The following is a 22,724-nucleotide window of genomic DNA, read 5'->3' as shown; positions in this document are numbered from 1 at the left end:
AAACAAGTCCGGGCGCAGTGGCTGACGCCTGTAATTCCAGCACTTTGGGAGGCTGCGGTGGGTGGATCACTTGAGGTCAGGAGTTTGAGATCAGCCTAGCCAACATGGTGAAAACCCCGTCTCTACAAAAATTAGCTGGGCATGCTGGCGCGCATCTGTAATCCCAGCTACTCTGGAGGCTGAGGCACAAGAATCACTTGAACCGTGGTTGCAGGGAGCCAAGATCGCACCACTGCACTCCAGCCTGGGCGACAGAGTGAGACTCCATCTCAAATAAACAAAACAAAACAGTTTTAAAACTTTGTTTTTAACAGAAAACATTTACAATTTGAGTACTTTCTATTCTATTTCATTTGTTTAGAAAATGTTGGTTGCAACACACCAATTTGATTTCGTAACCCACAAATGGTTTAAGAGCCACAATTTGACAAGCTAGAAATTGAAGAGTAGTGGTGGGAGAAGTCCTGGGAAGACGGGGGATCCCAGAAGCCAGATGAGGCTGAATGGGAGAAAAGGAAGAGGAGGTGACTGCTGTGTGTGATTCAGTGTCCTTCCTAATATGCCCAACACTTTCACATCATCTACCATCTCACCGGGAAGGTTCTCACTTCTGTCTTCTGTAGCTAAGAATGTTCAAAAGATACTTTATCACTGTCTTGACTTATCAGCCACTCAGGCAATAAGTTCCTTGAGCAGCGCTCCCTGTGTCCATAGCTGGCTGCTACACATAACAGGGTGGGCTGTGATCTTTTTATTTTTTCTGTGTAATTAACAGCCAGATTCAAGAGGGTGTGATCTTTCGAAGGGGTCATGCAACAAGGTCGGGGTGTCACCGAGGGAAGCCTGATTTGACTGATGGCCCGTGGATAGCATCACCTTGGTGACAGTCTGAGCCCTAGCTTACTGGTTCAGAAAGTTGAATGGACCAGTACCTCTGAGCATGGTCACTTGGCCTTGGGCCTTACCACACAAGGCCTCTTATTTATCTCTGAAGCCGTCTCCAAATGGTCTCGTTCATGCAGTTACAGAGATTGCCTGGCAAGATTGAAAGTAGAAGGCAAGCTGGGTTTGGTGGTTCATGCCTGTAATCCCAGCATTTTGGGATGCTGAGGCTTGCTTAAGCCTAGATGAGGACCAGCCTGGGCAGCATAGCAAGATTCATCTCTACAAAAAACAAAAAACTAACCAGGCATGGTGGTGCATGCCTGTAGTCTCAGCTACTCGGGAGCCTGAGGGAGTATCTATCTGGGAGGATCGCTTCAGCTTGGGGTGTGAAGGCTGCAGTGAGCTGTGATCATGCCACAGAAAAAAATAATAAAATAAATAAATTTAAATAAGACTATTACTAGAAGGCTTTCATCACACATCTTTAAACTTACATACCATCCTCCAATCACACTGCTTGAAATTCACTAATATTTTTGTAGGTCCTGCAATTATATTGTCACTAGCACAATAATATCACATTGCATTTTGCATGTTAAATGCATCCATTGGTTCAAGATAAACACTGAAAATACATCACAAATTTTAAAACCATCTTTTAGCACTTGTTCAATTTTTGATATACACCAAACACGGCAGAGACCTGAGCCTTTCTCAACTTTGAGAAGGCCCACCCAAGGAAGACCAGATTCTTGGTGACACAGTTTTCTTTCTTTTTTATTTTTTTGAGACAGAGTCTCACTCTGTCACCAGGCTGGATTGCAGTGGCTCAATCTCAGCTCCCTGCAACTTCCAACTCCCTGGTTCAAGCGATTCTCCTGCCTCAGCCTCCTGAATAGCTGGGATTACAGGCACGCTTCACCACACCCAGCTAATTTTTGTATTTTTAGTAGAGACGGGGTTTCACCATGTTGGCCAGGATGGTCTTGATCTCCTGATCTCGTGATCCACCAGCCTTGGCCTCCCAAAGTGCTGAGATTACAGGTGTGAGCCACCGCGCCCAGCCAGTGACACAATTTTCTTAGAACATCTGCAAGTGAATTCACTCCGGAGTAAAAGGAAAACGTTTCTTTCTCAAAGTGACTGAAATGCCTGCAGCTCCTGTCCTGTTCAGAGGATCCTCCAAGGTAACCAGGAACCCAGCCTAACCTTGGAGAATTTGTTCCTTCATGATTGACATGGTTTGTCTGTGTCCCCACCCAAATCTCATCTTGAATTGTAGTTCTCATAATTCCCACATGTTATGGGAGGAACCAGGTGGGAGATAATTGAATCATGGAAGCGATTTTCCCCATGCTGTTCTCGTGGTAATGTATAAGTCTCATGAGATCTGACGGTCTTATAAGGGGAAACCCCTTTCACTTGGCTCTCATTTTCTCTTGCCTGCTGCCATGTAAGATGTGCCTTTCACCTTCTGCCATGATTCTGAGGCCTCTTCAGCCACGTGGAACTGTGAGTCCATTAAATCTCTTTTTCTTTATCATTTACCCAGTCTCAGGTATGTCTTTATCAGCAGCATGAAAATGGACTAATACAATGATCAACAATGAAAGCACCTTGAGGTGAGCATCTTAAGGGCTGTTTCTTTCAGACTATAATGAGGCTTAATGAACCAACCGGTCCTGCCCCATCTGAGAGGGTCCTCTCTGAAAAGCAGAAAGCTCCCACCCCCCATTTTTCATTCTGTCGGACAATTAAGCCGAAGATGGCCTTTCTCTTTGTCCTTCTTTCCTGACCATGCCTATTCTATCCAAATGTTCTTTCTTCAGAAATTAAACTCCAGTGAAGTAGCTATTCCAGGAGACCTAAAAGGCATCTGTTTTTTCCCATCACATACAGACTCAATTTGTTTAATTTCATTTTCAGAGAGAAAACTTGCTTCCAAGCCCCCAGGTTGAACCTCCCTGTAGGCTCCACATACAACCAACATGACGTGGTACAAAATAGACACCATGCCTGACTTTGAGTTTACCAAACTAACATGGAAACAAGAAATCTGCCTTAAACATATAATTTGGAGCAGAGTGGTATGATGAAGAGAAGCACAGATTCACTATCTTAGGCTCTTGTTCAAACCCTGCCGTGTGATTTTGGGAAAAACACTTCACCTACTCTCTTGAAAATAGTAGGCCCGAGGCAAGGGGTGGTTCAGAAAATCTCTCATGACTGAAACCCATTCACTTATTCATTCATGCATTCATCACATATTGCCTTAGCACCTACTATGTGTAAGGGACCGTGCCACAGGCAAGATTAGTAGACATGAATCTTGCCTTCAAGGAACTGCTAATCTATAGCTTTCAGATATAAAATGTCATGATTCAAAATATGATGATAGGCTGGGCACGGTGGCTCACACCTGTAATGCCAGCACTTTGGGAGGCTGAGGCATGTGGATTACTCGAGGCCAGGAGCTCAAGACCAGCCTGGTCAACATAGTAAAACCCTATCTCTACTAAAAGTACAAAAATTAGTCAGGTGTGGTGGCACATGCTTGTAATCCCAGCTACTTGGGAGGCTGAGGCAGGAGAATCGCTTGAACCTGGGAGGCAGAGGTTGCAGTGACCCAAGATTGTGCCGCTGCACTCCAGCCTGGGTAACAGAGCAAGATTCCATCTAAAAAAAAATGATGATAAACAGAAAATGTATTAGCACAGGGGTGGGATGATCATCTTAGGGAGGCTGTGAGCTACATGGGGAAGGGTCAGATGGTCTTAGGTTCAGACTCGGCTCTTTGGTCTTGGGCGAGTTCCTTGATCCCTTCTAGTTTCCACTTCCTTGTTCATAAAACAACGGGCATAAAAGATCCACTTTGGAGTGTTGAGAGGAGTAGAGCTGAATCATACAAAATACCCCACATGTAGTTGGTATTCAATAAACCACCTTCTCAATTTCACTCTCAACCCTCAACATCCATTTTCTATCCAAGCAGCTGATTGATATTTTCAAGAATGTAAAGCTGTCATATCACTTAGAACCCTCCATGCGCCCATTCAAATACATAGTAGGGAGAGCACATGCCTCCCCTGTTGAAGATAAGTTTGTTCTTGTCCAGGGCCTTTGAGCTCTTCCTTTCTTTTTTTTTCCTTTTCTTTTTTTTTTTTTTTTGAGACGGAGTCTCGCTCTGTCACCCAGGCTGTAGTGCAATGGCACCATCTCGGCTCACTGCAACCTCCGCCTCCTGGGTTCATGCCATTCTCCTGCCTCAGCCTTCCAAGTAGCTGGGATTACAGGTGCCCGCCACCGCACCCAACTAATTTTTGTATTTTTAATAGAGACGTGGTTTCACTAGGTTGGCCAGGCTGGTCTCAAACTCCTGACCTCAGGTAATCCACCCGCCTCAGCCTCACAAAGTGCTGAGATTACAGGCGTGAGCTGCCGCGGCCGGCCAGCTCTTCCTTTCTTGAAAAGTGATTGGTTCCTCGCCAGTAGGGGCTCGGCTCAAATGTCATTTCTCCAGAGGCCTTTCCTCATCATACATTCCTCAGCCCAGTCATCTCTATCCCATCCTCCTGTTTACTTATTATAACAGCAACCTCTGGTTATCTTGTTTCCTTGTGTGTTGTCTGCCCCACCTTCCTCAAGAAGATATATTCTCCACAGGTTCATTCCTTGTCTCTCCTCTTCTGCCAAAAGCTAAGGTAGAGCCTGGCAAATAATAGGGGCTTGATAATTTTTTTTTCTTTTTTTTTTTTTTTTTTTGAGACGGAGTCTCGCTTTGTCACCCAGGCTGGAGTGCAGTGGCACAATCTCATCTCACTGCAGCCTCTGCCTCCTGGGTTCCAGTGATTCCCCTGTCTCAGCCTCCCGAGTAGCTGGGATTACAGGCACACGCCACTATGCCCCACTAACTTTTCATATTTTTAGTAGAGATGGGGTTTCACCATGTTGGCCAGGCTGGTCTCGAACTCTTGACCTCAGGTGATCCACCCGCCTAGGCCTCAAAGTGCTAGGATTACAGGCATGAGCCATCATGTCCGGCCGATAAATATTTTTTGAATGTATATTGTTGTTATTATTCCTACTATCATTTGGTGGTTGGAATTTATCTAAGGAAAGATTCCTCAGGTTATATCTGTACTTTGAACCAGAAGAGGAAACTAGTTGCATGCCTGAAATACAAAGCTGGGAAGGACTAGTAGGAGGAAGGACGGTGTGGGCCCTGGAGGGAGTTTTGTTTTTGTTTTTGTTTTTGTTTTTCCTTTTGAGACAGGGTCTCACTCAGTTGCCCAGGCTGGAGTGCAGTGGCACAAACATGGCTCACTGCAGCCATGACCTCCCAGGCTCAAGCGAGCCTCTCACCTCAGCCTCCCAAGCAGCTGTGCCACCATTTCTGGCTAATTTTTTTTATTTTTTTTTTTATAGAGAGGAGGTTTTACTATGTTGCCCAGGTTGGTCTCAAACTTTGGACTCAAGCGATCCTCCTGCCTCAGACTCCCAAAGTGCTGAGATAACAGGTGTAAGCCCCATGACTGGCCTGATGGAGTCTTTTAATGCAATAGAAAGAACTCCAGGCCAGGTGCAGTGGCTCACGCCTGTAATTCCAACACTTTGGTAGGCCAAGGTGGGCAGATCACCTGAGGCCAGGAGTTCAAGACCAGCCTGGCCAACATGCTGAGACCCTGTCTCTACTAAAAATGCGAAAATTAGCTGGGAGTGGCAGCATGTGCCTGTAGTCCCAGCTACTTGGGAGGCTGAGGCAGTGGAATCACTTGAACCTGGGAGGTGGAGGTTGCAGTGAGCTGAGATCATGCCACTGCACTCCAGCCTAGGTGTGCAGTGCGAGACTCCATCTAAAAAAAAAAGAAAAGAAAAAAAAAAGAGCTCCAAATTTGGAGCTAATAGGTCTGAATTCTGGGCCTAATTTTACCACAAGCTACCTCTGTTCTTTAACTTCTCAGAACTTAGTTTTTTCATACATATTTTTAAAAAAATGATTGGACTAACTTGGCCTTAAAAGTTCCCTCAGCTCTGAAATTCTGTGCCTTAAGAATGAGCCGCCTCTGAGGAAGCCCAGAAGTGTGTGTGTGAGATGCTACAGGAAAGCTTAGAAGGGAGCAGTGGGTTTGCCCCTCTCTGAGCAAAACTACTACTCAGATCCTTGACACCCATTCACTCCAAGCCAGACCTTCCCCTCACCACACCCTTCCTCATGCTCACCACAGCTGCTCAGAGATACTGACTAAATGAACAAATGAACATCCCCTGGAACCAGCAGAGAGTGGAAACTGAAAACTCAATGACTCAGTAGGAAGGACCACTGAGTCACGCAAGCCACTTCTTGTTTTCTCAGTGTACTCCAAGCCAAGTCCTGACAGGGTGGGAAGGCAGCAGAGCTCTAGCTCTAGTAAGTCCACACATAACAGCACTGCAAGGAGAAGGCCTTCAAAGTCAAAGCTGGAGGTAGGAGGGGAGGAAATGAAACAGTCACTTAACCTTTGTTCCAGTTATCTGCAGCAAACCCTACTATCCAACTAAAAGATCATATAGCCTGATACCTTAAAAGTAATAAAATCAGTTTCTAGAGTACCAGATATAAAAGGGGCTGTATCAGTTACCTATTCCTATGTAACAAATCACCACTTAATGGGTTAAAGCAGAAACCATATTATTTGCTCACAACTCTATGGGTCTGTGATTTGGTTGAGTTCAGCTAAGCGGTTCTTCTGCTGGTCTTACAGGAATCACACATGTGACTATGGTCATCTGGCAACTCAACTGGGGTTGGATGATCTGAGATGGCCTCACTCACATGTCTGGTGGTTGGTGCTGGCTGTTGGCTGAGCCTCTCTTTCCACATTATCTTTCATCCTTAAGGAAGCTAGTTTAGGCTTGTTCACATGGGTACAGCATCATTGCAGGAATGACAGTGGAAGCTGCAAGATCTCTTAATGCTCAGACTCAAACATAATGTTACTTCTACTACAATCTGTAGGTCAAAGCAAGTTACAGGGCTAGCCCAGATTCAAGGAGACAGGAAATAGATTCTACTTCTTAATAGGAGAAAAAGCAAAAGTATGCCGCAAAGGGAGCAAACATGCAGCGATGGGAGAAGTTGTGGCCCTCTTTATAGTCAACCTACTGCCAAGACCTTGATGCTCATGCAGTCCTCTCATTCTTTTTTTTTGAGACAAGGTCTTACTCTGTCTCCTAGGCCAGTGTGCAGTGGCATGAACACAGCTCACTGCAGCCTTGACCTTCTAGGCTCAAGCAATCCCCCCATCTCATGTGCCCACAAGTATCCGGGACTACAGGTGCACACCACCATGCCTGGCTAATTTTTGTATTTTTTGTGGAGACAGGGTTTTGCCATGCTGGCCAGGCTGTTCTTGAACTCCCAGGCTCAAATAATTCATCTGCCTTGGCCTCCTAAAGTGCTAGGATTACAGGTGTGAGCCACCACGCCTGTCCAGGCCTATCATTCTTGAAATGAGGAGTCTGATACACAAATAAGTTAAGTGCCTTGGTCAAGTTCATAGAGTTAGTGGCACATCCAGAATGGGAACCTATGCCTCCTGCTTGTCAGTCCAATGTTTTCACACCTTCAAGGACATTTTCTACCTGCAGCCTCTTTCTTCTTTACCCAAACCTAGTGACAGAGCCAGTCTTTTGAGCCACTCCACTTGTCAGAGCCATTCTTTAGACTGATATGGCTTTAGGAACAGAATACCAAAGCCCTATTTCCAAGGCTGGCCACAGCTGCCTTAGTTCTATGAATCTCCCTAACAGGAAAGGAGATTCCATTTCATCTTCTGGTCCCTTGGGAGTCTATTAGGCTCCCAGGCCATAGCTAGATTGGACAGACAAATCTCCTTTTGCTGGATTTTTAAAAGGTATTTCATAAAATAGTGCTTTGTATAAGAAGAAATGTTCAATGTCACTAATCATCAGAGAAATACAAATCAAAACGACGAGATACCATGTCACCCCAGTTAAAATGGCTTTTTTTGGCCAGTCTGGTGGCTCATGCCTGTGATCTCCAGCACTTTGAAAGGTCACGGCAGGAGGATCCCTTGAGTTCAGGAGTTGGAGACCAGCCTGGGCAACATGGTGAGACTCTGTCTCTAAAAAAAAAAAAAGTAAAAAATTAGCCAGGCATGGTGGCACATGCCTGTAGTCCCAGCTACTCGGGAGGCTGAGGTGGGAGGATCACTTGAGCCCAGGAGTTCAAGATCAGCTTGAGCAACATGGTAAGACCACATCTCTACAAAAAATTTAAAAAAAAAATTTAAAAATGGCTTTTATCAAAGAACCAGGAAATAACAGATGTTGGTGGGGATGTGGAGAAAGAGGACCTCTCATACACTGCTGGTGGGAATGTAAATTAATACAGTTACTATCGAGAACAGTATGGAGATTACTCAAAAAACTAAAAATAGAACTATCATATGATCCAGCATTTCTACTACTGGGTATATATCTAAAAGAAAGGAAATCAATATATTGAAGAGATATATGCACTCCTGTATGTATTGCAGCACTATTCACAATTGCCAAAATAGGGAATCAACCTAAGTGCTCACCAGCAGATGAATGCATAAAGAAAATGTAATACATATACACGATGGAATATTATTCTGCCATAAAAAGGATGAAACCCTGTCGCTTGCAGCAATTCAGATGGAACCGGAGGTCACTGTGTTAAGTGAAATAAACCAAGCACAGAAACACAAATGTCACATGCCCATACTTTTTAGTGTGGGAGCTAAAAAAGCAAATCTTATGAAGATAGAGAGTAGATTGGTGGTTACTGGAGGCCAGGAAGGGTTGGGTGAGGGGAGATGAAGAGAAGTTGATTAATGGGTACAAATATATGGTTTGACAGAATACATAAGACCTAGTATTAGATATTAATAGATCAGTAGGGTGACTATAGTTTCCAGTAATCTATTGTGTATTTCAAAATAGCTAGAAAAGGGCTGGGTGCAGTGGTTCACACCTGTAATCCCAGCACTTTGGGAGGCCGAGGCGGATGGATCACCAGAAGCCAGGAGTTCGAGATCAAAATAGCTAGAACAGAATTTGAATGGTCGTAACATAAAAAATAGACAAATATTTAAGGTGATGGGTAGCTCAAGTATGCTGATTTGGTTTCTACAAATTATATGAATGTATTCAATTATCACATGTACCCCAAAACTATGTACATCTATTATATATCAATTAAAGCAGTGCTTTGTAGTTGTCATTTTTAAGGCAATACATCTCTAGTATATCTTGGAAGGGTAGTGACAAAATCTGTTAGATACAATACCACTGTAAAGAATTAGTTCACCAGGCTGGGTGCAGTGGCTCATGCTTGTAATCCCAGCACTTTGGGAGGCCGAGGTGGGTGGATTACTTGAGCTCAGAAATTCGAGATCAGCCTGGGCAACATGACGAAATTCCATCTCTACAAAAAAATACAAAAAATTAGCCAGGTGTGGTGGTACACGCCTCTAGTCCCAGCTACTCAGGAAGCTGAAGCAGGAGAATCGCTTGAGCCTAGAAGGCAGAGGTTGCAATGAGCCAAGATCACGCCATTTCACTCCAGCCTGGGAGACTGAGTGAGACCCTGTCTCAAAAACAAAACAAAACAAACAAACAAAAAACCAAATCAAATTAGTTCACCAGAACAGCTTCTGAAAGTGAAGGCTAGAGGGAGTAATATTAATTATCTAACATCTATTGAGTTCAAACTACATCCAGACACTAGGCTAGGCATTTATATATATTAGCTCATTTAATTCAAATAACCTTGTGACATAAGTTTTATGGCTTTCACCATTCCTAAAATTGGTCTGTCAAACATCATGTTTATGTCAAATTGCCAAATCCAAGGTTTCACAACTTTTAGTTTTTTTCAACTCTCCTTATAATTTGAGAATACATATTCATTCAATTGTCCATATGTCTATTCTACTAAGTGACAAGACCTGGTTTAGGTATAGGAGATACAGCAATAAACAAGTCAGAAACATTTCTTATGCTCGTGGACCTTATTTCTTGTCTAGTGAAATGGACATTGAATAAGTGGCAGCCAATAGGATGGGGGTTATGAATAGGGAGGTGGAGAAGCCCTCAGAGAAGGCGTCTCTTGGATTCTGGGAGTTGAAACTCTCCAAATTCTGGTTCCTATTTCTCTGACCACTCCTTTGACGATTCCTTTTCCTCCATGTGCCCTTTAAATCCTGGCATTCACCAAGGGCTTGTCCTCATAGCTCTGTCTTCTTTCCTTTCCATCTGTTGGTGATCTCAGCCAGTTCTCCTGCTTCAGGCATGCTTGGTTTAATATGCTTTTCCTGGGAGCTCTCCCAAGCTCCATGGCTTCAACACCTGCTGAGGATTTCCAAACTTGTTTCCTAGTCCGTATTTCCAGTTCCCTATAGGATGCTGTCATCAACCTGTGCAGAACCACGCACTGGACATTCAAACCTCCTTGCTGGTATTTTTAGTTCTGCCATCATTTACCCTAGCCCTTTCAGCCTGCTAAAATCCTGTTCACCTTTTGAAGTCTGCCCACCCTCTTCAGGTGGAGCCCATCCCTTCCTCCTCTGAACCCCTCTGTGTATTTCCCCCTGGCTACTTCCATACTTAATCACCTTAAAGACAAATTAGTTTTTTCTGTGGCTGGCTCTTCGTGTGCTCCCTGCGACTGTCTGCTCCCTGAGGGCAGGGATCAAGTCTTGTTCATCTTGAAATGCTCCATGTTTTGCACAACAGTAAATGCCCAAGTTTACTGTTCATTGCATTGTTGAACTACATTTGGATCTGTGAACTATTTTCAACTCCGCAGTCAAAAGTAGCACATTTTGTTCCGACCATAACACTTCTTCTAGAGTTTCTATTAGGGTTAGTCAACTGCTCTTGTCTCGGTCATGAGATTGTGGGCGAATTTTATGGGCAACCCAACTTCCCATCTCCGCCCCCACATTTTATTTGTCTTTTTTCCACCAACACCCCCAGTGCCAATCACATAATGGAAGTGTTTGTAGTCCAGACTCATTCCATTACCTTGGCTTCTCCTTGGTAAGAGGACATTCATTCATTCGTTCATGTACTTATCTAACAAGTACTAATTGAATTCCTCCTTTGTGCCAGGAATTGCTCAAGGCAAAGTCCCTGCCCTGAAGGAATTCAAATTCTAGTAATGGACATGGACAATAAATAAGCAAATAAATAAGCAAGAAAATACTAGATTGATACAAGCTATGAAAGGCATCAACAGGGTGGTAAGACAGAATGAGAATGGGAAGGTGCCACTTTAGATAACATTGTTCAGGATCAGCCTCCCTGAAGGAGTTTGGACTGAGACTTGAGTGGCAGAAGGAACCTGGCTCTAGGCCAGGTGTGGTGGCTCATGCCTATAATCCTAGCACTCTGAAAGGCCGACGTGGTAGGATCGCTTGAGCCCAGGAGGTTGAGGCTGCAGTGAGCTGTGATTGTACCACCACACTCCAGTCTGGGTGACAAAGTGAGACCCTGTCTCAAAAAAAAAAGAAGGAACTGGGCTCTAGAAGGTCCAGAGGAGATTCCAGGAAAAAAACAGGAACATTGGAGACACCAAAGGAGCATCATGTGCACGGCATGGAACGAGCAAGTGGGACAAGCTGACACAGGGGAGGTAAGCAGAACCAATCGTGGGGGCTTGGAGGCATGTAAGCACTTTTAATTTTTATTAAAAGCAAAATGGGGAGCCATTAAAGGGTTTTGTGCAGAGGAGAGACATGATCTGATTTATTTTGTAAAAATAGCTCTTTAAAAAGAATGTAGAGTGGACTGAGTGGGAGCAGAAAGACCAGTTAAAAGAGTGTTATAGTAGCCTAGGCCAGTGTACCGGTGGCTTAGAGCAGGTTGGCTGTTCTATATCCACATGAGGCTTGATTCTGTCTGCTCTTACTACCATTCCGACCCATTAGTCTGGCCAGGAAAATTCTCAGTGATGCCACCGCATCCCTGGTGCCCGTGAGAAATCCAGATGCCGAGAAAGAGGGACACCAGGTTTAGCCAGGAGCCCTTGGTCCTCTTGTCTCTATCTCCATGGTCTCTTGTGTTCTGGTTCAGCCCCATAGGAGGGACAGCCCTGCTTCTTTTTTTTTTTTTTTTGAGATGGAGTCTGACTCTGTTGCCCAGACTGGAGCACAGTGGCACAATCTTGGCTCACTGCAACCTCTGCCTCCCGGGTTCAAGTGATTCTCCTGCCTCAGCCTCCCAAGTAGCTGGGATTACAAGTGCCCACCTCCGCGCCCAGCTAATTTTTGTATTTTTAGTAGAGACGGGGTTTCAACAGGTTGGCTAGGCTGGTCTCAAACTCCTGACCTAAAGTGATCCACCTGTCTTGGCCTCCCAAAATGCTAGGATTACAGGCGTGAGCCCCCACACCCAGACTGGGACAGCCCTGCTTCTGAGCCAGCCCTCCAGAGGGTTGGAGAGATTGGCAGGGCATGGGATTGTCTGAAGGCCAAGAGGGCTGTAGAATCTGGCAAGTGTGGGCAGCAGCAGCAGCGGTCTAAGCTCTCAGCAGCTGCCTGAGCTGCACGGCCCACTCCCTGGCTCGAAGCTTGTTGCCTCTGTCTTTACTTATTCTCGGAAGATCTCTGAATGCTAAAGCACACTGTTTGTTATAGTTGTTGTTGTTTTCCCCTGGAAAAATAGAGGAGCATTTTAAATAGATTATACTGAGTTGAGTGAACTAGAAACTTAAGAAGAGCTAAAAGGGCACTTGGCATTCGCCCCTCGTCTCCTGCAACTCTTCGCAGGCCCTTCCTGGCCCTCTAGCTCAGCAAACCTTCTCCCTTCTCCCCCCGGACCAGCCTCTTTCCTCCTGCAGCCCTTGTCGTGTTCTCCTGCCTATCTAACCCTCCAGCCAGTCTCTGCTCTAATATCACTTCCTTCTAGTGACTGTCCCCGAGGGCCGCCTGCCAGTCTATGTTATGTGCCCTGATTAAATGCATTCAAAGCACTAGAGACTTTCTCTTCACAGGACTCATGGTTAATTATAATCACATACTTACCAGCAGGGTGTGGACATATACACACTACGGCTCAGGTTTTTTTGTTTGAAAAATGTCGTTTACATTTATTTTTATAACTGGTCTCATCTGTTCCCACTCCTGCTGATAGTGGAGGGGAAAAGAAATTTACACTTACCAATGAAAAGTAACTGCCTCTTCCGGCTTAAAACAATCTGTTTCGCCCAAATAATCAGTTAATTCTAAGTTGAAACTTCCTATCAGGATTGCTTCCTTTTCTCTAAAGCATGCTTTCCCTGCCCATCCTCCTCAATACAGGGTCCGGCTGCAGGGAGGGGTGGGTCAGAGGCCCTCAGGGTGTTGGGCAGGGCCCAGGGGGGCTATCATGGGATAAGACCCCCTCATGGGAGCCACCATTGCATCTACACCTGGGCTGTGTGGGGGCAGCTCTGCCCTCCAGCCCTTGGCCACATCTGGGCTTGCCGTGGCATCATCCCCTGCCCGCCAGCTCACGAGCCTGCATTCTCAGCTGTCTTGGGAGTATGTCTTGGGGAACTTCGATGTTCCCTACAGGCTACACACAGGTCAAGAGGAAACGGGGAGCAATCACAGGCTCCTTTCCCTGAAAACACGCCCAACACCACCATTTCGCCCCTGCTGTGGCTGCCCTCACAGTTCATGGATGCCATGCTAGACAATTTCCTCTGAGTTCCAAGCAGAAAGCAAAGCTCTGCCTTCTCTGAGCCAGCTTCCTCTCCACCACCTGGGCCATTCAACATCCCTGCTCTAACGTTTGCTCATGGCAAAGGGGCCTGAATGCAAAGACACTCTTCTTACTCCCACTTCGTCCTCCTCCCTTTTCTCCCACCCTTCCTGGCTGGTGGGAATGACTCTGTGGCATGGTCTCCGTTGACTCACACTATAGTGTAGGCAGTGTGAAGCTGTGCGGTAGGTTTGCCTCTTGCAGGTAAAGGCAAACCACTGCCCTCCCTGCCACCTACCACTTTTTCTTCATCCACTCCCCGACCAAACCTGCCTTTTAAGATTATTGTCTCATGGATATATCAATTATAGAGATGGGGGGGGGGGGTCTCGCTTTTTTGCCCAGGTTGGTCTCGAACCCCTGGCCTCAAGCTATCCTCCTGCCTTGGCCTCCCAAAACTCTGGGATTACTGCAGGTGTGAGCCACCATACCCAGCCTGTCTTATGGATTTAAAAATTGAGTGTGACCCTCAAAGCTGAGCAATGACCTCTTTCTTCTGCCTGGCATCCACCCATTCTATATCGACTCATCTACTAGGCAGGGGCTACATGGTTGTCAGGAAACAAAGACCATCTTTGCTTAATGTTTAAAAAAAAACTTCCCATGAAGTAATTTGTCTGATTCTTTGCACAAATTCTAGCTGTACATCTCTTTTGCTCAACACCATATACTTTGTGACTAACCCAGGTAGTACTGAGCATCTGGGGCTGCAGGCACATGCCATGACACCAGGCTAATTATTTTATTTTTTGTAGAGACAGGGTCTCTCTTTGTTGCCCAGGCTGGTCTCAAACTCCTGGCCTCAAGCAATTCTCCCAAAGTGCTAGGATCACAGGCGTAATCCACTGCACCCAGCCTCTTTCAATTTCAGTATGAATAAATGTTCATTATTTGATAGACTTCATTTTGGAACAGAAATAATATCTAGATAATGGTGAAAAAAGTAGATGTTACTATTTTGGATCAAAAATAAGATACATGGCCAGGCGTGGTGGCCCACGCCTGTAATTCCAACACTTGAAAGGCCAAGGTGGGCAGATCACCCGAGATCAGGAGTTCAAGACTAGCCTGGTCAACATAGGGAAACCCCGTCTCTACTAAAATACAAAAATCAGCCAGGTGTGGTGTCACATGCCTGTAATCCCAGCTACTGGGGAGGCTGAGGCAGGAGAATCACTTGAACCTGGAGGTGTAGGTTGCAGTGAGGCGAGATGGTGTCATTGCACTCCAGCCTGGGCGACAGAACGAGACTCCATCTCAAAAAACAAAGAAACAAACAAAATATATGAATATAAAACAATATAAGAGTCTTTTTCTAAGTGACTTATAAATTGGCTTTGAGGATTAGCCCACACAAGGATTTGGGACAAGGAGTTCTAAAATGTTTTCTGTAGGGGTGTCATGGGAAAAGGAGCAGGTCTTCCAAGGGGACCAGTTAGATGGTGATGGCCGGTATCTGAATGCAAAGTTTCCAGTAAATGAGTTTTAAAGACAATAATGTTGGTTTATAGTAATATTTTATACAATATTGGACTTTTACAGGAAACTATTTGTAATCATAGTGAATTTCATTTAATAACCTAATAACTTGATTGTTTGGTACTCATGTAGAAATTGTAGGTCTTACATGATTTGGGGCTGTTGGAATCCAAGATTTTCTTCCCAATTGTTATAAGCTTTCTCCAATAGTTACTTTAAATTTGCCCATTATTGCTTTCTCTTCTCACTGTTTTCCTTTAACCTGATACTTGCTGACAATTCACCAGAGAGGTGAGCCCCTTGCATACTTCTAGACTTCCTGTACATGTTTTATCAGAGCAATAATGATGACTGTTCACCCTCATTACGGGTAAAATAAGTTAAGACAGGCTCAGGCCTAGGTTAATATGCTTCTAACTTTGACTCTAAATGAAACCTGTGTTTAGGAAGAGGGTAGCTGAGGAATCACATGTCCATAGGGGCCAGGCAGGTAACCTAAATGTATGAAGAGAGCTGGCTGTAAGAAAAGCAACAGGTGAGAAGCCCTACCATCAAAGTGGAAGCTTGGAACTGAGTCATCTGCTGGGCTATTTTAGAGACCCCCTGCTCAGAGGCCTGCTGGTCTTGGAGTGTGGCAGGCCTGATTCCACAGGTGGAGGCCACAGCCCTACTGGGTCCTGTGAGAAACAGAGCTTGGAGAGCCAGGGGAGTCCCTCTCCTGGTTCATCATCCTTAGCAGGACTCCCTGGCTCGCTCAAGCTCCATCTGATGCTCAGCCTTGGATTAGAAGGGCCCTTGCTGCCTCCTTTTCATGGGAGTTGAGAACCTCCTGAAGCCCATGCAGGACTTTGGGCTCAGGTCAGCTTGGGACTCAGGCTTATTTTTCTGGAAATGTAGCAGACTCTAAAATGCTGGCTTCCAGAGATCAAGGACTTGTATATTACTGTATTCAGGACTGAGCCAGCTGGCAAGCTGTAGTGGTTACTAAAATATCAAAATGCACCAAGTGACTCAAGGGTTAACACCTGACACAGGAGCAAAGGGCCTCCAGCACAGGCCCAGCAATATCTCCAAAGTCCTCCTGAAACCCTGAAAAACAAAACTGGTGAGTTAGGGTGAAAGCCTTCCTGTTACATGTGTTGAAAATCACCCCTGATTGTTCTTCAAATGTAACTCAGTGCCTGGCACCTTCTATAAATGAATGAACACATGAATGAATGAATGCATTAATGAATGAATGAATGAATGAATGTAGGGCTGGAGGGCAACAGCTGTTCAATACGTGTGTGTTGCATGAATGAGTCTTCATCTGCTGTTTTCTGAAAATGCAGGCATTCCTTACACACAGCAGAGCTCTCTGAATCCATCTTAAATAGCATTTTACACTGGTTTGAGAACTCAAGGTCACCCTCTTACTTGTACCTGGGCTTTTATATAATACGCTTTAATCACCTGCCTGGCAGCTGTCAGGAAAGCTTTCTGTTGTAACATATCCAGGGAAAAAGTCATATTTTGCTTTACATACTTAAGTGAAAAATTGGTCCCTGGCTGAACATAATGGAAGTCATTCGTTCTGGAAAAAGCAATTCAGAAAAAGATATCCCCTAAAAATCTAGCACAGTCCACTCAGAACTCCATCCTCTGATGGGCTGGGGAAGATCCTTAGACTTATGAGCTATTTTGAGGGGGGTAGGGGGTACTTTAATTTCCCATAAGGGCAAGTGTCTAGGAAATCTGTCTACTAACTGTAACTGTTTGCTCCTGAAATGTGTGATTGGCCCCATCTGAGAGGTGACGGATGCTCCTTTTAGTGCCTGGCAGTCCCCATTACAGCGAGTGTGGAAGTGACTTCTGTGATCCCTAGCCAATGTGAAGCCTTTCAGTCAGGAAGAAGAGTGGAGAGAAACTTCTTACATTTCAAAGTTTGCCCTTGAGAAGGCCTTTTCCCTCACGCCCCTCTTCCCAAAACCAGGGAATCTGATAACATTTTTCTATAATTTTTTTTTTGTCACCTATCTATGTAACCAGAGGCAGAAAGGAACGACTTGGTTTAAAACACAAGGCCGAGGCATAAGGTGGCGTGAGTCCCCAAAGCTGCTCCCTGGTTTCATCTAGGCCCTCTTCTTTCAGATTTAGTGATGGAATTCTCCCTGTTAGAGCCGTGGTTTTCATAACCCTAAAACCAGAGCTGTGCGGCCTCAGGGTGGGCAGCCGAGATTCCTGTGGCAGCTTCTTCTGAGCCCTGGGGGGTGGGAGGACAGACGGCAAGCGGGGTGGAAAGGGACAACTCCAGCCCTCACTAGTTACTTGGGGGTGGAGTGAGGATACATTTCTTGTGTCCCTTATGGTTGAGTTTCTCAAAGCTCATCTCTGGCTGAAACCAGGGAGCCGAACCAAACCCCTGCCTCGTGGGAAGCAATGATGTAGCCACTTTCAGCTTTTGTTCAAATGCTCCTGAAAGGGAGCCGCCCTATCACACACGGAACTTCAGGAAAGCTCATGCCCTCCCCAGAAATGACAAATGGAAAAGACAGAACAGTCTCCGGCCAGGCCAGGATACAGTCTCTGGAAAGAGATTGTTTTTGTCTCCATTGCCATAGAAAACACATCCTTTTAACTTAATAAGTAGGGAAACAGCATAATCACACGCGCTGGAGGTTACCAAGGTGAACAGAATCCAAGATTAAAATCTGCCAGTCCAGGGGTGCATGGAAGCATGGGAGGCCCAAAGAGGAAATCTAGTTTGCTGTTGGTAAATTTTTTTGGATGCTGTTTATGTTTGAACTTTTCTCTGTTTTCCTGTAGAAACTTCCGTACCCTCTTCCTGTGTCCCTACAAAAGCCTGGACAATGCAGTCCCAGCCCTGCTGCAGAACATGGGCAGGCCCCACCTTCCTCCTTCCTGCAGGGATATCCTTTCCTATAGAAGAGGTAAGAATGTAAGGTTCATGTGAAAATGTGATTATATTCCTTATCTCAGTCATTTCATGATTTGCTGTTTGGCGACAATAAGTCAGCCTGGCCACATTCACAATAGAGGTGGCCCCGGTTCCTAGTTTTGGCTCGTGCTGTTTTCTCAGCTGAAGAGGGCAACCGGCTGTTAAAAACGCTGCCTGTTTTCCAGGATCTTATCAGGAGTTCATGTCTAAGGCCAGAAAGAGAAGGGAGGGCTCCATTTTTTTTCCTCTCTCCTCATTGTTTCCAACTGAATTGGCAGGAAATAGGAGTCCTCCACCTGTCCCTCTCGGGAGCAAAATTGATTCGATTCCATTTTTCAGATGTATCCGCTACCACCAGAAATTGGGGACATTTCCGCTCACCCCAAAATGAATGCGTTCCTGGATTGACACAAATGACATCTTTCAGAATTGCAAATTAATCACATTTAAATGGGGATGTTTGGGACGGGGGATTGGTGTCAATTGCCCCACAGAATCTCAGGTTTGCTTTCTCTTCTCATTCACCCTTTTGTGAAGTGCCTTTTAGGGCTGTGGGGCTTGACTGACTCCAACAAGTTTGTGTGAATGTGGTGTGTGTGTGTGTGTGTAGTGTGTGTGAATGTGGTGTGTGTGTGTGTGAATGTGGTGTGTGTGTGTTTAGTGTGTGTGAATGCGGTGCATGTGTGTAGTGTGTGTGGATGTGCTGTGTGTGTGTAGTGTGTGTGAATGTGGTGTGTGTGTGTAGTGTGTGTGAATGTGGTGTGTGTGTGTAGTGTGTGTGAATGCGGTGTGTGTAGTGTGTGTGAATGTGGTGTGTGTGTAGTGTGTGTGAATGTGGTGTGTGTGTGTGTAGTGTGTGTGAATGTGGTGTGTGTGTGAATGTGGTGTGTGTGTGTGGTGTGTGTGAATGCGGTGTGTGTGTGTAGTGTGTGTGAATGTGGTGTGTGTGTGTGTGTGTGTAGTGTGTGTGAATGTGGTGTGTGTTTGTGTGTAGTGTGTGTAGTTTGCATGTACCATCAATGGCGTGGACACTCAGAGAACTGAAATCCTTCGCTCAGGGTCTCACATAAATCAAAACAGTTCCCTTTCACAGCTGCCTTAGAGCATATGTTTCAGGCAGGGTAATACAGGATCCAGACAGAAGCTAAGTCCATTTCTCAAGACTCATAGTGGGCTTGTGGTTGACCTAGTATTTTCCACTTAACCCAGTTCAGCCAATTCAGCCAATTTGAACAAAAATCAGGGTCTGTCTAGATGCTTTATTTCATCTAAAAACAACCCCAGATGATTCTATTTTGAGGGGATCAATCATTTTACTACCTAGAGAAAAAGCTTAAACATAGGAATTACATAAACCACAGTATTCCATAAACAGAAGGACCTTCCTACTCAATGTCAACACTTCGTGTTGGAGCTTAGACTCAGAAACTGGGCAGTTGCTAGATGGAGCCCTGAAACAATCCATTTCCAACTACCCTCAAGAGCACAAGAAGCAGAAACAGCATTTTGATTCCACCCTAGTGGGGTCCTGGTTTTCCCAGGTCACATTATCCTCAATCCAGGGTCCTGACTAAGACCAAAGAGGTCATGCTCCTGCCCCATCTTGTTTAGGAACTCCAGCTCCTCACACCCACTGCAACCATGGTGGCTGCCTGTGGTTCTTGTGTTGTGTGAGGATATTTGCAGGCAGGACAAAATGTTCCAGACTCCTTCCTCCCTGTGGGTCCTAGGGGACCCATGAGGTATCTGTGCTCCCAGAGCTCCCTGCTTCTTGACCCCCTGGGCTGTATTTGATGGGAGCCACCCGCCTCTGCCCCACTCATGCTCATCCTTGGGTACCCAACTGATGTTCTAAATATGGATGTCAATAGACGGGCCAAAAGCCACGTAGATAGAAAGAGTGTTTCCACGCAAGTGAGACAACCAACTTAAAATCAGCCTCTCAGAAATGAGATCTGTGGGAGAAAAATATTTTAACCTCCTTGTATTGTATGAACCAATGCTTTCCTTCAACCCCAATGTTTCCTTTCTCTCCTTGGTGCTTGCCCAGGTCCCTGTGCCCTTTGAAGCAGTTGGGCTCTTCTGCACTGACTGCCTCAGAGAAAGGATGTTACAGTGGAAAACAGAACCGGGAAAAGACTTCCTGACTTTGGAGTTTCAAAAGCTTAGTTCATTAGAGAAATGGAAAAGACTCAGAAAGGATTAAACACTGGGCAGAAGTATTGTGAGTGAGAACCAAATTCCTTACTAGTCCTACCACCTGAGCTTCAAGGATTGTGGATATCCAGTGGGGAGGAGAACTGATGGGGACTGGGGCGAGAAGGTCAGATCTGAAGAAACTCCAGGGGCATGAGCAGACCCAGCATCCATGGACAACGCAGTATCCACTCACATGAGCCTGTGCACCACCGGTGCATCGGGGCTGCACTGGTTGTCTTGTCCTTTGGCATCCAGTGAGGACTTCCTAGGAGGGCTGTTGGCATTTTCCTCACTGACCATTTAGCAGGAATAACAACTGTCTTTGCCTCCAAACCTGGCTATGTTGCAGTTAAGAAGACTGATTCCATGCGGTCAACCTAATATGCAATATCTCATGGTGCTTGTAAGCCCCCAAGAAGGAGGATGGGGCCTTTGTGTACGTGGCAAGGTAGTGCCATAGAAGGAAAAGTTTCTGAGTCTACAATTGAAGGCAAATGGAACCAGCTCAAGATTTTCCTCAAAGAATAACAATGGTCAAGCTCTGCTCCCACACCAAACTCTCCTTATTATATGATCCTCTGGCCTTCTACAGAGTGCTACATTGCTCTTCCATGTTGAAAAACTTTGAACTATTTCCCACAGAGCTAGTCCAGTGGTCTATTTGGGTGATTCTACTCTGTGTTGCATTTCTAGTCTCTGACCTAACCTTGACCTTGACCCTGATCTTGGGTACTTGCTTGGTTTTCCTGGTTCTCACACCCCTCATCATAAACCATGCCCTCCCCAGCTCCCAGGCCAGGTGTGTAGCAGGCTTTATCTCCCCTTCTTTACTGGGGTGTCTCAATGTCTCAGCCACCCTACATACCTGGAGGTTCCTAACCTCCATGAAACCCTCAAACCACAACCTCCCTCATTTTGCCTAACATGAAGTGGATCACAGGTAACATGGCATCCTCAGGATCACACCATAAGCACCAGATGGAGAAGGGTTTTGCCTGGGATGAGTCAAGGTATTACATTAATGGGACCAGCTTGGGCCAGCCACTGGCTGGGATCCCCTCTCGTCACATGGAATCCCTTCCTTATTCTCTTTCCTCCCATGACTGGTATGGTTAGACCATCCTGGGGACAAACTCACCCTTCTCTTCACTAGAGGAAGGGTGGTGGGAGAGGAAATAACTTCTTCTGCAGCCTAGAGGTGAGACCCAGAGGACCACAGGAATGGGCCTGGAGGGCAAGTGGCCATAGCTGAGACTTTAAACCAGAGAAGAAAGAGGGCAAGGAAACCAGATCAGTCACCAATGCTAATGTCCTCTGGGCATGTCAACACTAAGAAGATGAAAATGGAAAACATGAAAAGGAAGTATCACTTCTGGCTTATGTTATGTACTTGGCACAGTGTTAATTTCCATCCTTGCACCTTCCCCGTGCCCTTCTCTGCTTCACAGGGGCCTAATTAACATTACACAGTGTCCTATAGGCCTCAGATGAAAGCTATTATAAAAGTGCAGAAACGGTCACCGTCATCACAGACCCTAATTTGATAAGAAATTCCTTTCAGCCTGAAGTGAGTATTAACTATATTCGAAGGTCTAGGAATGTTGTCAGTGTGTGTTTCAAAGGTTACCACTATCTGGGGGGAATGCACCATGAAAGGAGATTTTTCATGGTGAAATTATAAAAGTATTTAGAGTTGAAAAAAAGAAAAGACACAAACATTGAGAGATTATGAGTGACAATGAAATCAGACTAGTTAGCAGAAACAAAGCAGGGCCTCAACCAGGTGACAGCAGGACTGATTTTTACGTCAGGTCTTCAGGTCAAGTCTATTAAAGGAACAGCTGGGCCCATGAGCTTTCATTGCAGTGCTATTTCTCTGCATTGAATACTGGCTAAAATTAATGGGGCATAGGATAGGGCTGGAAAATTTTTATTAAAATGAGAGGCTTTTGTGGTAAATTATGGTAGCTAGGGGTTTAAGGTTGAGGGGAGGGGAAGGTCCTGGAACATTTCTTCTACCAATTGCCCTAGCAATTATATCCATCTTTGGAATCTTAATGCCTGGCTTCTAATCCCAGGTAAACTTGGAACAAGTGATTTAACCTTTTTGTGCCTTAATGTCCTCATTTGTCAAATGAAAATAGTGAAAATGCCAACCGGGCACAGTGGCTCACACCTGTAATCACAGCACTTTGGGAGGCCGAGGCGGGCAGATAACCCGAGGTTGGGAGTTCGAGACCAGCCTGACCAACATGGAGAAACCCCGTCTCTACTAAAAATACAAAATTAGCCAGGCATGGTGGTGCATGCCTGTAATCCCAGCTACTCGGGAGGCTGAGACAGGAGAATTGCTTGAACCCAGGAGGCGGAGGTTGCCGTGAGCCAAGATCTCTCCATTGCACTCCAGCCTGGGCAACAAGAGTGAAACTCTGTCTCAAAAAAAAAAAAA

General features: G+C 45.4%; 1 long non-coding RNA gene across 1 annotated transcript, besides 1 other annotated feature; it reads left to right on the top strand.

Moving 5' to 3' along the window:
- The first annotated feature begins 10,894 nt into the window (after window positions 1–10,894).
- Window positions 10,895–21,537, top strand: LINC02452 (long intergenic non-protein coding RNA 2452). Its single transcript, XR_945239.3, has 3 exons — window positions 10,895–11,548; window positions 17,944–18,068; window positions 20,127–21,537. It is a non-coding gene; the product is annotated as a long intergenic non-protein coding RNA 2452 (long non-coding RNA).
- Window positions 16,790–17,084: a silencer, noted in NCBI's record as "tiled region #6189; K562 Repressive non-DNase unmatched - State 22:ReprW". NCBI's record gives its function as "represses a minimal TATA promoter and a strong SV40 promoter by Sharpr-MPRA in K562 cells {active_cell/tissue: K562}" and the evidence as "EXISTENCE:reporter gene assay evidence [ECO:0000049][PMID:27701403]".
- Window positions 21,538–22,724: the final 1,187 nt, after the last annotated feature.

The sequence above is a fragment of the Homo sapiens genome, chromosome 12 (genome assembly GCF_000001405.40).
Source record: "Homo sapiens chromosome 12, GRCh38.p14 Primary Assembly".
Lineage (NCBI taxonomy): Eukaryota > Metazoa > Chordata > Mammalia > Primates > Hominidae > Homo > Homo sapiens.
This window is presented reverse-complemented; position numbering and strand designations above follow the sequence as displayed.